General features: G+C 40.2%; 1 protein-coding gene and 1 pseudogene across 4 annotated transcripts in view; one reads left to right on the top strand and one right to left on the bottom strand.

Annotated features, from left to right (window-relative positions):
- MLLT10 (MLLT10 histone lysine methyltransferase DOT1L cofactor) overlaps window positions 1–15,970 on the bottom strand; it is a 209,875-nt gene that overhangs the window by 105,202 nt on the left and 88,703 nt on the right. The gene's annotated exons all lie outside the window — the stretch shown is intronic.
- Window positions 12,073–14,527, top strand: HNRNPRP1 (heterogeneous nuclear ribonucleoprotein R pseudogene 1; annotated as a pseudogene).

Raw genomic sequence — 15,970 nt, 5'->3', positions numbered from 1 at the left:
TTGTAGGTGGGGTCTTTGGGGAATTAAACTGTATGTTCACTACTGCCTGGACATCTGAAGGTATAAGAGGAAATGATATGTTATATCAGAAGTCAGCAAATTATGATACCTAAGCTAAGAGTAATGTTGCATCTTTAAAATATTCCTTAGTGCCCCCGCCCCCCTCCCCCCACCAAAAAGAAGAATATATGATAGAGACTAAATGCGGTCCACAAAGCCCAAAATATTTACTATCTGGTCCTTTAGAGGAAAAGTTTGCCATCCCCTGTATTATATGCTTATCTTTACCCATCCATAAGTGCAAAAGGTATTCTCCCCACCAAGAAGAGCAGCACGTAGAAATGCTAATGAGACATGTAAATCACTCTCCAAACCATGTCTCTTTCCTGGGTGGTCCAACAGAAACAGCATAGGATTCCAGAAGGACAAAGGGAAGCCACAGCTTCGATAAAGGACTCAAAGGTACCAGGGGTAGGAAGAGATGCAATATCTCAACACAAAAGCCCTGCAAGGCCAGTGAAAAAAGGCTAGTAAGAGCAGGAAGCTAACAGTGAATTAGCGCCAAGTGAGTTTAGTTATTGCTCTTATAGCCCCAGCTGTTACAGACTAAATCCACTACACACTGATGGTACTTGGTAGGTTGTTCTGGACATTTCTAATGCCTCTTTGCCATAACACTCATACCTAAGGATCAAGATCAGTTTACATCCATGTGTCAAAGCCCTCCAATATGTCTGAAGTGCTTTCCCAGAGGGGTGACCTAAACTCCCTTGCCACTTGCCACAAATAGGTATGTCAGGACTCAGTACCTCTACCCTGTGATTTTCAAAGCTCTCACTATTAGCTGGTAAATTAGAAGCCTCAGTCTCAATAGCTCTGTAATGTTATCTCCTCTGTCAGCACAGTTGGTGGAAACTCCAATAAATTTCAAAGACCTGCTCAACAAGTTTCTGGAAAGTATAGGAACAGATTCACAACGCCAGATTCCTCTGGCAGTCAAGGATGGTGGGGTCTCTTCAGAATCCCACCATCGAAAAACAGGCTGAACACCTTACTGAACTCTTTAAATAACAGGGGCTCTATGACACTCACTTCAACGTTCTGCTTTTCCTTTAAATGTCAGCTATCCTGTAAATATGCATCCTATGAGAGTAGCCCAAAACCCACACACTGTGTTGGAAGCTAGGTAGGAAGCTGAAGCACATTGTCTACCTTTGGAACCCCACAGGCCTCATTATGCTTTTAAGCTACATGTTTCTATGAATTATGATTTTGCCAACTGAATCCTCTGGCAAAAAAGCCTCCACCCACAGGCACCCACTGGAGATTTGGACTTGATGCCCCAATGACATGGCTATTAAGTGCATCCTTTTTGAAAAGGAGCTATTAGCTTGCTACAGAGTTCTTACTGAAACTGAACGCCACACCCACTAAGGCCTTATGAGGAAGGAAGAAAAAAGTAATGATGGCTTTCCATGACTTCAGCAAACATCTCTAACTCCGTTAGTATCTGCTGATTCTGTTCCCTATTCCTAATTGCCTATAAATGTATACACAACTACCATATTATAGTGAATGCAACAAGAATTAGTTAAGTACTCACAAGCTGTCAACAACACTACCTTTCTTCTACTACCTCACACCTGACACTCAGGGTTTAAAAAAAAAAGCTACTAAAAATACAAAAATTAGCCAACGTGGTGGCACACGCCTGTAGTCTCAGCTACTTGGGAAGCTGAGGCAGGAGAATGGCTTGCACCCTGGAGGCAGAGGTTGCAGTGAGCTAAGATCGCACCACTGCACTCCAGCTTGGGCAACAAGAGTGAAACTCCGTCTCAAAAAAAAAAAAGAAAAGAAAAGAAATCATATTAGGCACTATAAAAGAACATTAAAACATAAAAAATATAGATCAGCTTTGAGACATGATACAGTCTGACAATAAGACATATACATATATAAAGACAATATAAAAGTGAAATGAAAATATAAAAAAATCATGGGCCGGTCGCAGTGGCTCAACCCTGTAATCGTAACACTGGTAGGCCAAGGCCAAGGTGGGAGAAGGATAGCTTGAGCCCAGGAGCTCAAGACCAGCCTAAGCAACATAGGGAGACTCCATCTCTACAAAAAATATAAAAACTTAGCCAGGCAGCGGTGGTGCATGCCTATAGTACCAGCTACTCCAGAGGCTGAGGTGGGAGTATTGCTTGAATGCAGGAGGTTGAGGCTGCAGTGAGCCATGATCATGCCACTGCACTGCAGTTTAGGTGACAGAGTGAGACTCTATCTCAAAAACAACAACAACAACAAAACCCATGCAAAAGACAGAGATACAGTATGAGTCTTATAAGTCAAAGGAAGTCTAGCTTCACCAGAAAGGCAAGGCTAGGTTAAGTGCTGAATTTGGGTACAAGAGGAGCAAGAAAAGAGTAAAACGAAGAGAGCTATGATTTGACAGAAGAGGAGTAAACAGAGCAATGTAAAAAAAAAAAAAAAAAAAAAAGGCCAGGTGCAGCGGCTCACGCTTGTAATCCCAGTACTTTGGGGAGCCAAGGCAGGCAGATCACCCAGCTACTCGGGAGGCTGAGGCTGGTGAATCTCTTGAACCCGGGAGGCGGAGGTGGCAGTGAGCTGAGATTGCACCATTGCACTCTAGACTGGGAGACAAGAGTGAAACTACATCTCAAAAAAAAAAACAACAACAAAAAACAGCAAGAGAAAATGGTGGCAGCAACATAGTTTCTCATCCTTTCTGAATCCCAAATATAAAAACAAAGCAAAGAGCCTGTAATCCCAGCACTTTGGGAGGCCAAGGTGAGCAGATCACTTGAGGTCAGGAGTTTGAGACCAGCCTGGCCAACATGATGAAACACAGTCTCTACTAAAACTACAAAAATTAGCCAGGTGACATGGCATGCACCTGTAATCCCAGCTACTGGGGAGGCTAAGAGAATTGCTTGAACCCAGGAGGCAGAGGCTGCAGCGAGCCAACATCATGCCACTGCACTCCAGCCTGGGCAATAAAGTGAAACTCTGTCTCAAAAAAACAAACAAGCAAAGCAAATAGATAATAAAACTAAAAACTCATGGAATAACACAACAAAACCAAGTGTAAAAGCATCACCATCAACCCCAAAATACAAGGAGGTAAGGAAAAGAGTTACAAGGCCCACATGGTAACAGCATTCATGAGGAAGAAGGAAGTGACAAGAAAAGCACTAAATATTTAGTCAACAGTACTTACTGGAAAGCACTGAGAGCCAATTTGAGAAACGCAGCTGAAACCAGGAAGAGTTCTGCACTGGCCAGTAACAGGTAAGCGCATGGGGTACACAGTAAGAAGGACTGGTATGATCTCTCAAACTGCTGAAGGGTCCATTCTAGGACAGAGACACACTCCAAGTAGATATGCTACCTCCACTAAAAGAAACCAGTGTTAGAAAATGAGCTGATTCAAGGTCTGGGGCAGAAAAGAAGACAAGATAAGCCTACAGCATCTGTTTTACTAGAAATTAAGGAAATTTTTATAAACTGTTGAAAAATTTCAAAAGGGCACAAGTGCCAAGTTGAAGGACTCCCATTGGCCAAATGTGGGACAATCTGAGCATTAAGATGAATAATAACAGGAATTACGTAACACAGTGAACTTAAAAAAATAAACTTGAGTCTACTCGATACTGGAGAGATTAGTGAATGGATGGATGTTTGGATGGACAGATGAAGTTCTTCATAACCAAAGCATGCCAAGAAATAAATATGGAAGCATTGATAGAAACAGAAAATCATCACATTATTACCACCAAAGTTACAACAGATTCAGGCAAAGATCATCAATGGATATATTAAACACACTGCATGAAAGACTATTGGGGAACAGAAATTTCAAAGCCTCAAGTAATATCTCACAGGGAAATGAAAGCTTCACAGTAGATCTGGTAGACGACACCTTAACCAAGGGATCAAATTTAGTATCACGGATGATGGGATAAACTAATATCATATGTCCCTTGATACAATGCACTGAGAACAAGACATCATCTACGTGGTATTTCCATCAAATATGCTTAACATGAATCTTTTCAGGAGGAAACAAATCAGACAAATCCCAGCTGAGCAACACTGCAAAACAACTAGTCTGAACTCAAGAAAATGTCAATGTCATGAAAGGTAGAAAATCCTGGTAACTGTTTTATTTTTTGAGACTGAGTCTCGCTGTGTCACCCAGGCTGGGTGTGATCTCGGCTCCCTGAAACCCCTGCCTCCTGGGTTCAAGTGATTCTCCTGCCTGAACCTCCCAAGTAGCTGGGATTACAGGCACGAGCCACGTCACTCGGCTAGTTTTTGTATTTTTAGTAGTGATTGGATTTCACCATATTGGCCAGGCTGGTCTCGAACTCCTGACCTCAAGTGATCCACCCACCTTGGCTTCCCAAAGTGCTGGGACTATTTTAGATTAAAGGAGACTAAAGAGACAACAACTAAATGCAACGTTTGATACTTGACTTCTACATCAATTTCTTCTTAAACTGGCTATCAATTAGGACATTGCTCGAACAACGAGATGCTTGGTTATGGATTATATGTTTTTTAATAGTATTATATTAATGTTAAATTTCCTAAGCTAATTACATTGTGGCTATATAGAATCAACTTCTTAGGTGATACATTCCTAACTGTGTAGAGAGGAAGCATCACAATGTGAAAAACTAATTCTCAAATGAATCCATAATAATTTTTTTGAGACAGGGTCTCTGTCATCCAGGCAGGAGTGCGGTGGCACAATCTCAGCTTTTGTGGCCTCGACTTCCTGGGCTCAAGCAATCCTCCCACCTCAGCCTCCTAAGTAGCTGGGACTACTAGAAGTGCATACCACCATGCCCAGCTTATTTTTATATTTTTTGTAGAGATGGCTTCTTGCCATGTTGCCCAGGCTGGTCTCCAACTCTTAGACCCGCCTTGGCCTCCCAAAGAGCTGGGATTACATGCATAAGCCACTATGCCTGGCCTAAAAATCTCCTAACCAAAACTGGGAATACACTATGTATCTTTCACTTATATTAAAAACATCTTTGCACTTCATTAGTCTTCTAAATCATGATTCTAAATCATAAGTGTTACAATAATAATGTTGGTTAATAACTAAGATGCTCCTGTGTTTTCTGTCTAAACAACCAGGTTTTCAGTTAATATGTGCCAGGACATTTTACATGTACTAACTAATTTAGTTTTAAAAACTCTATGAGGTAAGCACTAAAATCAACTTGATGCAGATGAAGAAACTGAGACACAACATAATGCCCCATTTTTACAGATGTGCCATAATTTATTCATCTGTTACGGGCAATTTACATGGTTTCTAAATATGAGCTACCATAGTGATGAACAATCATATACACATCTTTTAACTGTATATGCAACACCTGAAAGAGTTAAAAGGAACTCTAAGTTCTTTGACATGCCATGTTTAATAGATCCTAAGAGATTTATTTATTTAAATAAATCTCTAAAATCAGGTTATGTATTATAATACTGCTGTGTCATAGTTTACTTGGCATGATTTTTTCTTAGTGGCACATAAAATGAAGGTGCATCCTACAATCAGTAGGAGATTAGATTATATACCACAGTTAAATGGCTTCTCAGATAAGTCAGATCTATCTACTATAACACTCTCACTGCTTATAGCTACATTTCTGAAAAAATACAAAAGAGAGGCCATAGAAAGGAGCAGAAAAGTTTTAAAAAATAAACCGGATTCTACTGGTGTTATGCCCCCAAATACAAAACTTTAAACAAACTGTTCAATATTGATTGTGACTCTCCAGATTTTTAAATTCTGTTTTCCCAAGGATTGAGCATGGTGTCTCGAATTGAGTAGACGCTTTGTAAACATTTATCAAATCTAATTAAACCTTCATGTCCCTAATTCTTCATCTATAAAAATGGAAATGAAAACTAGGTCATTTGCCACAGGTGATAAATACATTAATAAATATTTATATTATTAATGGAAAACAATAGGCTATCATTACTTCATCTCCATGATGCTATAATTAGATAGCTGGAATAAAATTCTAAACACCTACATGAATTAAACATGAGTCTTTGCATTACATGCAATCTCAACCTTACAAGTTGCAAAAAATAACTCTATTAAATAAAGTTAATCCTCAGCCAATTCAGTTAGCCATAACATTCTATTTCATGGACATGCCAATTAATTGATGCACACTATATTACTGTTTGTCTTCAACATCTGAATTCAAGCTAAATTTCAAAAAGACTATTCACATCTACTTTCACTTTTTATCTTCTTTTAACAAGTTATTTATTTAAGCAAGCAGGTCTTCAAAATTTATTCTCCCAAATACTACTCAGTTAAATAATAGCTTCCTGGAACAGAACAGAGGATTGATAAGGCATATTCTGTATTAGCATTCTTTTGAGAACATGTGAAAACTTCACCATTTGTACTAAAACCAAAAAAAAAAAAAAACCAAAAAAAAAACTCTTCAAGTTGTAATACAGATTTATCTAACTTTCAAAGGGGATATGATTCTTACCTCTGATATCGTTTGGCTCTGTGTCCTCACCTAAATCTCATGTTGAACTGTAATCTGCAAGTGTTGGGGGGGGAACCTGATGGTGGGGTGACTGAATCATGGGGGCAGACTTCCCCCTTGCTGTTCTCCTGATAAGAGTTCTCACCAGATCTGGTTGTTTGAAAGTATGTAGCAGTTTCAAACTTTCCCTCTTCATTTTCTCTCTCCTGCTCCACCATGGTAAAGATGTGTTTATTTCCTCGTCGCCTTCTGACATGATTGTAAGTTTCCTGAGGCCTCCCAGCCATGCTTCCTGTACAGCCTGCAGAACTGTGGGTCAACTAAATCTCTTTTCTTCCTACTAAATTACTCATTCTCATTTATAGCAGTGTGAGAATGGACTAATACAGCCTCCAGTAAAGGCAGAAAGATGTATTTAAAAAAAAAAAAAATTCCAGGGACTTCGTAGTCAGACATAGTTCATCTTAAATTCCAGCTCTATCATTTATTAATAGGTGTCTCTTTATCTCTTCGTCTGCCCATTACTTTTCTTTTTTTTTTTTTTTTTTTTTTGAGACGGAGTCTTGCTCTGTTGCCCAGGCTGGAGTGCAGTGGCACCATCTCGGCTCACTACAAGCTCCGCCTCCCAGGTTGACGCCATTCTCCTGCCTCAGCCTTCCGAGTAGCTGGGACTACAGGCGCCCGCCACCATGCCCGACTAATTTTTTTTTGTATTTTTTAGTAGAGACAGGGTTTCACCATGTTAGCCAGGATGGTCTCGATCTCCTGACCTTGTGATCCGCCCACCTCGGCCTCCCCAAGTGCTGGGATTACAGGCTTGAGCCACCGCGCCCGACGTACTTTTCTTTAGGCAACTCTTTCCTGCTACATGTGATCTTGGTAAGACCTTGAACCACAGTATCCCAACATCCCTGGACCACAAGAGTGGGTGGGTGTGCTAGCGAGTTAAGGCCAACTGTATGAACAACTCGCACAGTCCTCAAATATTCTCAATTTCAATGGCTTTCATTCAGACTCTCCTTCAGTATGCCTAAAACCACATCTTGGTGTCAAAAACTACAAAGAGTCTAAGATCTTACTGTACTTGTAAAGTGACAAGTTAGTTCACCACAGTTTCATAGATGCTGGTAGAAGATGACACAAGACTCCTGCATTGGACACAGAGGACTTTAATACTCGTGGCAATAGCAAAAGCCAGACTGTTAGCATTTGCCTAAGTTCCCCATTCTGACAGGGTGACCTGGGGCAAGATGACATTTATACACACAGTGGACTGAATTACAGGAGAAATTTGAATGATAGTGCCTCTGTTTTCCAAGGCTGTTTGCTTGCTATATAAACAACATAAACAACCTTGAAAAGAACAAAGGCAGTCAGGGCTGCCACTCACAAGATGTGTATAAATGTGAGAACCATGGAGAACTGTCTTCCAACACCTGGAAGCTGCCATCACCCAACATATCCCAATGAAATATTAAACCACAATGATCTACTCTTTCTTCATAACCTTGCAGTTAATTCACACTCTTACTATACTTATTCTTGAACCTTACTGAGCCCTCTAGGCCCATGCTCCAATATCTCCTGTAACTCTATGTTCCAGCCCTTCCCTAGTTCCACTACATCTATTATCCCACCTCAATCTCATGATCCATTATTTTAAACACTTTTGAAAATAACGCACTTGGCCTCCTTATTTGTATACCCAATCTGCCTAGCAATATCTCTGATAGGGTTCAACCCACATCTAGTTTCTTTGCTCTACTACCCAGGTGACCTAGTTATTCACCTACATGCTTCTCTTCTTTCTTCCCCACCAAAACAGAAGAAGACATAGTATCATTTTTCCTGCCTCCTCCCTTTTGTCTTCAAATCTGAGATTCTTTTTTAATTTTTTGTTTTAAGAGATGAGGTCTCATTCTGTTGTCAAGGCTAGAATGCAATGGCATGATCATAGCTCACTGCAGCCTTTAACTCCTGATCTCAAGAGATACTCCCACATCAGCGCTCCAGCAGCTGGGACTATACACGCAAGCCCAGCAAATCTGAGATTCTTAAGAGTTAAGTACTCTCACTACCTGTACTTCCTCACACCCACTTTATCTACCAATAAATATATTGAAACTCTACATTGAAACTCCTCTTCAATGACTTCCTTGGTGCTAAATCCAAAGAACATAACATTTATCCTTCTACTACTCAACCTACTCTTTTATTTCCTCTGTAGACTCCACCCTTCCCCACTATTGACAATGATACAATTAGAAAATTACCTTTTGTCAACTATTATTTATTTCAGGCTAGACTCATCAGTGAATGCTAAAACTTGTGGGTGAAAATTTAATAAGAAACAGGATATGTGCCTAAATCTCAAGGTGTGGTAGAAAGCCTCCATGCCCCCAATGATCTTTGTACCTGTGCAGTGCCTACCCGTACTGAACAGGCTTACCTATGCATCCAATAGAGAGTAAAAATAACAATATGCCATCAAAGTGGTTAAAATGGCAAATGTTATGTTATCTATTCTTACCTCAAAAAAACCTTAAAAACAAATAAAACAAATAAAAAGACAAATAAATTAAAAAAATAAATAAGACATTTAGTCAGAAAAAGAAAATGATACCGTGTGACTTCCGAGGCCAGGCTATAAAAAACATGGCAGCTTTTGGGTTGCTCTTAGAGCAGTCCGTATGGGAAAAGCTAGGTGCCATGTCACATGGCACTCAAAAGGCCCTAAGAAAAAATTCATGCAGCAAAAAAAAAAAGGCAGCCACCAAACTGTCAACCATGTGAGTAAGTCATCTTAGAGAATATCCTCCAGCGGCTGGGTGTGGCAGCTCCTGTAATCCCAGCACTTTGGGAGGCCAAGGTGGGCAATCACCTGAGGTCACAAGTTCAAGACCAGCCTGGCCAACATGGTGAAACCCCGTCTCCACTAAAAATACAAAACTTAGCCGGGCATGGTGGCACACACCTGTAGTCCCAGCTAATGCGGAGGCTGAGGCAATCGCTTGAACTTGTGAACTTGGGAGCAGAGGTTACAGTGAGCCAAGATCATGTCACCGCACTCCAGCCTGGGAGACAGAGCGAGACTCTGTGTCAAAAAAAAAAAAAAAAAAAAAAAAGGCAGGGCACAGTGGTTCATGCCTGTAATCCCAGCACTTTGGGAGGCCAAGGCAGGCAGATCACCTGAGGTCAGGAGTTGAAACCAGCCTGACCGACATGGCAAAACCCCATCTCTACTAAAAATACAAAAATTAGCTGGGCGTCGTGGCAAAAGCCCGTAATCCCAGCTACTCGGGAGGCTGAGGCGGGAGAACTGCTTGAACCTGGGAGGTGGAGATTGTAGTGAGTCTGAGCCAAGATTGCACACCTGTACTCCAGCCTGGGTGACAGAGCTAGACTCCGTCTCAAAAAAAAAAAAAAAAAAAAAAGAGAGAGCATCCTTCAGCTTTAGTCTGGCCTTTAAATGACTATAATCAAAGACAACATGAAGGCAATCTGATAATAGACACTAAATCCAAATTCCTGACCCACTGAAGCTGTGAGACTATAAATGTTTATTGCAGTTTTAAGCCAATATATTTCAGGGTAAATTGCTATACTACAATAGTTAACTAACACAGATTTACAGATTACTCCTGGTTATCTGTTACCAGGAGACGGATGTTCCCATACAATAAAACCTGAAAATGCAGGCGCTGCTTGGAATCAGGTAGTAGGCAGAAGCTGACAGGACTTGCAGGAGAATATCAGCAAAAGCTTGATGAGCAATGAAGAGATTGTCACTAGAAACCTCATGGCCCTTAGCAGGCTGCTACTAAAGGCTTAAACCAAAGTGAGAAAAAGGTAACTGAAAATTGGAAGAAGCTGAATACTTCATAATTAGTAACTGAAAGTTTAGGCACAACCTTGCCTGTGGTAACATGAAAAATAGAAAATGTATTTAATGAGTTGCATAATTTAACAAGGAGATTTCTAGGTATTCGGTGGAAGATGCAGTCTAATTATTTCTTACTGTTTATAGTAAAAAGCAGGAGTACAGAAATAAGTTAATGAAAAGACTGTTGACCAAAAAAAAAGAGCCAAGACTTGCTGGTTTTAAAAATTTCCAGTCTCTGCAGATAGCAAACAATGCTCAAATCAAAGAATGGCTCCCAGAGAAAGATAAAATCTAGGCCACTGTTAGAAAACAGCTGTATGAAGATTTAAAAAAGAGTATGGCTACAAACCCCTTTTTTAAGACCTAAGAAAGACAGAAGGCAATACCTCAGATAACCTGAAATAGGACTTTAAGAGATGTCAAGGTCACAAAAGACAATGAATAAGGACATATTCCAAACTGGGAAATACTGAATAGACATGACAGCTAAATGCAACTTGTGATCTTGGATTGGATCCTGGACATGGAAGAGAAAAATGTTTCCCCCTTTGGTGTAGATGACATCAGTGGCTGCAATTTGAATATGATCTGTAGATTAGATAATAATCTGTAACAATATTAATTTATTGATTTTGATCACTGTACTGTAATTGTTTAGGAAATTCCCCTTTTAATTAAAACTATACACTTTAGTACTTGGGCTAAAGAGGCATTGTTATTTGTAATTTACCCTGCAATGGTTCAGAAAGATTCTACAGAGAGTAGAGGAGAAAGAGAGTGAGAGAGATAGCAAAGGAGGGTAGAGCGAAGGACATGGTAACATTAATATGGTAAAATGTTAACATTTTTGGAATGAGTGAGTAGTACAGCATTATTATTTGTAGTATTTTTGCAACTTTAAGTTTGAAACTATTGAAAAAACCAAAAGTTTAAAAAAAAAAATTAATCCTACTGGCTGCCTGGCTCAATGCCCAAGGACGAAGTCTAAAACTCTAACTGCTTATAAATTCTTCATAAACTAGCCTCTTCTTAGCTAGTCTCATGTTACCATACTCTTCAGTCTCACCCAACACACCCTCACATTCTAAACTGATGTTCCTGAAAAGACCTGTCCTCTCTTAACTCTTCACATATACAGATGCTGAAAGGTTCAACTTGAGCACAAAATTCCAAAAGGAAAGTACACAAAAAGGGCAGGTACCAGGTAACTCTCAATGCTAGAAAACTTTTACAAAGACAAAGAGAAGTCATTCCAATGATATGACTGAGAGTTTTATTCCTTTGAGGGCCACAGAAGAAAGTAGTCTAGCTCTCTTCAAAGAGGTGAGTAATCCTATTCTATGGTTTAAGTGTGGTGTGTTCCTGCCAAAACTCATGTTGAAATTTGCCAATGTGACACTATTGAGAGCTGATGGGGCCATTAAAAGGCGTTTGGGTTACGGGACTACTACCCTCATGAATGTATTAATGCAGCTTTCATGAGGCTGGGTTGATTCTTGCAGGAATAGATTAGAAGGCTGCCTCTCATGTTTGGTCTCCCGTTCTGCACACGTACCTGCTTCCCCTTCAGCTTCTTTGCCATGTAAACATAAGAATCATAGACTTGGGGGGTGGCACGCGTGCGAGATTTCTAGTCATTTTCAAAATGCCTTGCACTGGTTCTCACGGGCCCAGCCACCAGCCCCTGCTCTGCCCTGGATTGATAGCTTGTATCGATCTTGATGAAAGAGCAATTGATGCTCTCAGGGAATTTAATAAAGAAGGAGCTCTGTCTGTACTACAGCAGTTCAAGGAAAGTGACTTATCACATGTTCAGAACAAAAGTGCATTTTTATGTGGAGTTATGAAGACCTACAGGCAGAGAGAGAAACAGGGGAGCTAGGTGCAAGAGTCCACAAAGGGACCTGATGAAGTGAAGATCAAGGCCTTGCTTGAGAGAAATGATTATACTCTGAATGTAACCACAGGACAGAGGAAGTATGGTGGGCCTCCACCAAACAGTGTGTACTCTGGTGTGCAACCTAGAATTGGAACAGAGGTGTTTGTAGGTAAAATACCAAGAGATGTATATGAGGATGAGTTGGTGCCCCTTTTTGAGAAGGCCAGTCCCATTTGGGATCTACGTCTTATCATAGATCCACTGTCTGGTCAGAATAGAGGGTAGGCATTTACCACTTTCTGTGGAAAGGAAGCTGCACAGGAAGCTGTGAAACTGTGACAGCTATGAAATTCGCCCTGGTAAACAACATGGAGTGCGCATTTCTGTGGCAAACAACAGACTTTTGTTGGATCCATTCTGAAGAATAAGACTAAAGAAAACACTCTGGAAGAATTCAGTAAAGTCACAGAGGGTTTGGTGGACGTCATTCTCTATGATCAACCTGATGACAAAAAGAAGAAATGGGGGTTCTGCTTCCTTAAATGTGAGGATCACAAGTCAGCAGTACAAGCCAGATGCTGGAAAAGTAAAAGTATGGGGAAATGTAGTTACAGTTGAATGGGCTGACCCTGTGAAGAACCATATCCAGAAGTCATGGCTAAGGTAAAAGTATTCTTTGTGAGAAACTTGGGCACAGACGAAATATTGGAAAAGTCATTTTCTGAATTTGGAGAACTCCAAAGAGTAAATAAGTTGAAAGATTATGCATTTGTTCATTCTGAAGACAGACGAGCAGCTGTTATGGCTATGGATGAAATGAATGGCAAAGAAACAGAAGGGGAAGAACTTGAAATAGTCTTAGCCAAGGCACCAGACAAGAAAAGGAAAGAGCGCCAAGCTGCTAGACAGGCCTCCAGAAGCACTGCATATGAAGATTATCACTACACCCTCCTCCTCGCATGCCGCTTCCGATTAGAGGTTGGGGGAGAGGTGGATATGGCTAACCTCCAGATTACTATGGCATGAAGATTACTACAGTTATGATTACCACATCTATCAAGGAGGTTACGAAGATTCCCTACTATGGCTATGATGGTGGCTATGCAGTAAGAGGAAGAGGAGGAAGGGGAGGGCAGGGTGCTTCACCACCACCAAGGGGGAGGGGAGCACCACCTCCAAGAGGTAGAGCTGGCTATTCACAAAAGGGGGCACCTTTGGGACCACCACGAGGCTGTAGGGGTGGCAGAGGGGGTCCTGCACAACAGCAGAGAGGCCGTGGCCGTGGTTCCCGTGGATCTCAGGGCAATCAGGGGACAATGTAGGACGCAAGAGAAGGCAGATGCTTACAACCAACCTGATTCCAAGCATCGTCAGACCAACAAACAACAGAACTGGGTCTCTCAACCCATCGCTCAGCAGCCGCTTCAGCAAGGTGGTGACTATTCTGGTAACTATGGTTACAATAATGACAACCAGGAATTTTATCAGGATACTTATGGGCAACAGTGGAAGCAGACAAGTAAGGGCTTGAAAATGATAATGGCAAGATACGACTGGCTCTAGATCTACATTCTTCAAAAAAAATTTTGTTTAACTGTTTCATCTTTAAGTAGCAATTTGCTGCCATTTGTATTGGGCTGAAGAAATCACTATTGTGTATATACTCAGGCCTTTTTATTTTTCCTCTTTTCATAAATGCTCTTGGACATTATTGGGCTTACAGAGTTCCCTTATTCTGGGAGTTATGTTTTTATCATTTCGGGCTTCATTTTAGCTTCAAAACAAGCTGAACACACTGTTAAGTCATGATTTTGCAGAACCTGTGGTTTTGAAGAATTTCATTTTTTTGGATCTAGGATAGATTACATAGGAGTATGGAGTATGCTGTAAATAAAAATACAAGCTAGTGCTATGTCTTAGTAGTTTTAAGAAATTAAAGCAAACACATTTAAGTTTTCTTATACTGAAAATAACCTATGATCGTATGTTTTGCATTTTTAGAAGTAGGTTAACTGTGTTTTTAAATTGTTATAACTTCACACCATTTTGAAATCTGCCCTACAAAATTTGTTTGGCTTAAACGTCAAAAGCCATGACAATTTGTTCTTTGATGTGATTGTATTTCCAATTTCCTGTTCATGTAAGATTTCAATAAAACTAAAAAAATCTATTAAAAAAAAAGAACCATAGATTAAAAGTCAACATAACTCCATTTTCTTCTAACCACTATCAGTTACTGCAAATCACTGACCTTCGAACAAGTCATTTAAACTCTCTGTGAAAACACAGCTTCACAATTCTTAGAGGGCTTTTTAAAAGTTTTCAGATTGAGTGGGATAGAAGTGAGGTTGGTGCTTTTAAAACTTTCTAACAAGTATAAAAAGAGTTAGAAAAAAACAAATAGAGTCCTTTGACAGCAATGACTTCCTTATTAAAGATTATTCCTAGTGATTTTGACTAGTCAAATCAACTGTTCATTCTATGTATCACTTGTGTTACTGAAGGAAAATAAAACTCTATTTTACAGTTGTGACATATATAATAAGTGTGTGTGTCTTTGTGTGTATATTTGATCTCTGCCCCCAGTTTCTGGCACAGAACTTCTAAAAATCCTTTGATGTCCTGAGTGATGGGGTGATAAGAGCATTTTTTGTTATAATATTTGGTCTTATTCTCAGATTCCTGGCACAGAGCTTGTAAAACTCTTTGAATTCCCCTAGTGCTCATAATAAGCCCCTTTCAACCATACTTGAGTTTACACTAATAAGGTAAATCTTGGAGGATAGACGCTGATCACCAGAGGAACCAACCATGTGATCAGAGATTTGGAACCTTAAGTCCTACCCCGGTACCTCTGTTGAGGGGTGAAGGGCTGGAGGTTGAATTCAATCACCAATGACCAACGATTTAATAAATTGTGCCTACATAATGGGAAACCTCCAGAAAAAATCTTAACAATGAAGTTCTAAGAGCTTCCTGATCAGTGAACACAACCGATGCTGTGTGGGTGGAGCACCTGGAGAGGGCATGGAAGCTCTACCTACCTCCCCATAACTTGTCCTATGTGTCTCTTCCATCCAGCTGTTCCTGAGCTGTATCCTTCACAATACATAAGTAATAAAAAATAGTGTTCTGGAGTTCTGTGAGCTATTCTAGCAAATTACCTAATCTAAGGAGAAGGTTGTGTGGAACCCCCAATTTATAACCAGTTGGTGAAAAGTACAGGTGACAATCTGGGACTTGCAACTGGCCTCTGAAGTGGGGGCAGTCTCGTGGGACCCAGTATCTATGGGATCTGCACTAACTCTGGGTAATATCAGAACTGAATTGTAGGATACCCACTTGGTGTCCACAGAGAATTGGGTGATTAATTGGCGTAGAAAATAACCCACACGTTTGTTGCCAAAAGTGAACTTATAGAACAGCAGCATGCTTTCCTTTTACTAATCAACATTAACTAACATTAACAGGCATAACAAATATTAGAAGGCATTCTACAAAAATAATAATTCACAATTTGAACTCTTAGTGACTGAATTTAATCCTGATAGGCACAGCTTTAATTGATTTTAAATATATGCTCTGGTTCCTTTTAAAATATATACCAAATTTTCAATTTTTGCAGAAACATCCTTTAATCAGCCT

This window comes from Homo sapiens, chromosome 10, assembly GCF_000001405.40.
Source record: "Homo sapiens chromosome 10, GRCh38.p14 Primary Assembly".
In the NCBI taxonomy this organism is placed as follows: Eukaryota; Metazoa; Chordata; class Mammalia; order Primates; family Hominidae; genus Homo; species Homo sapiens.
The sequence above is the reverse complement of the archived record's forward strand: the minus strand, read 5'-3'. Positions and strand labels throughout refer to the sequence as shown.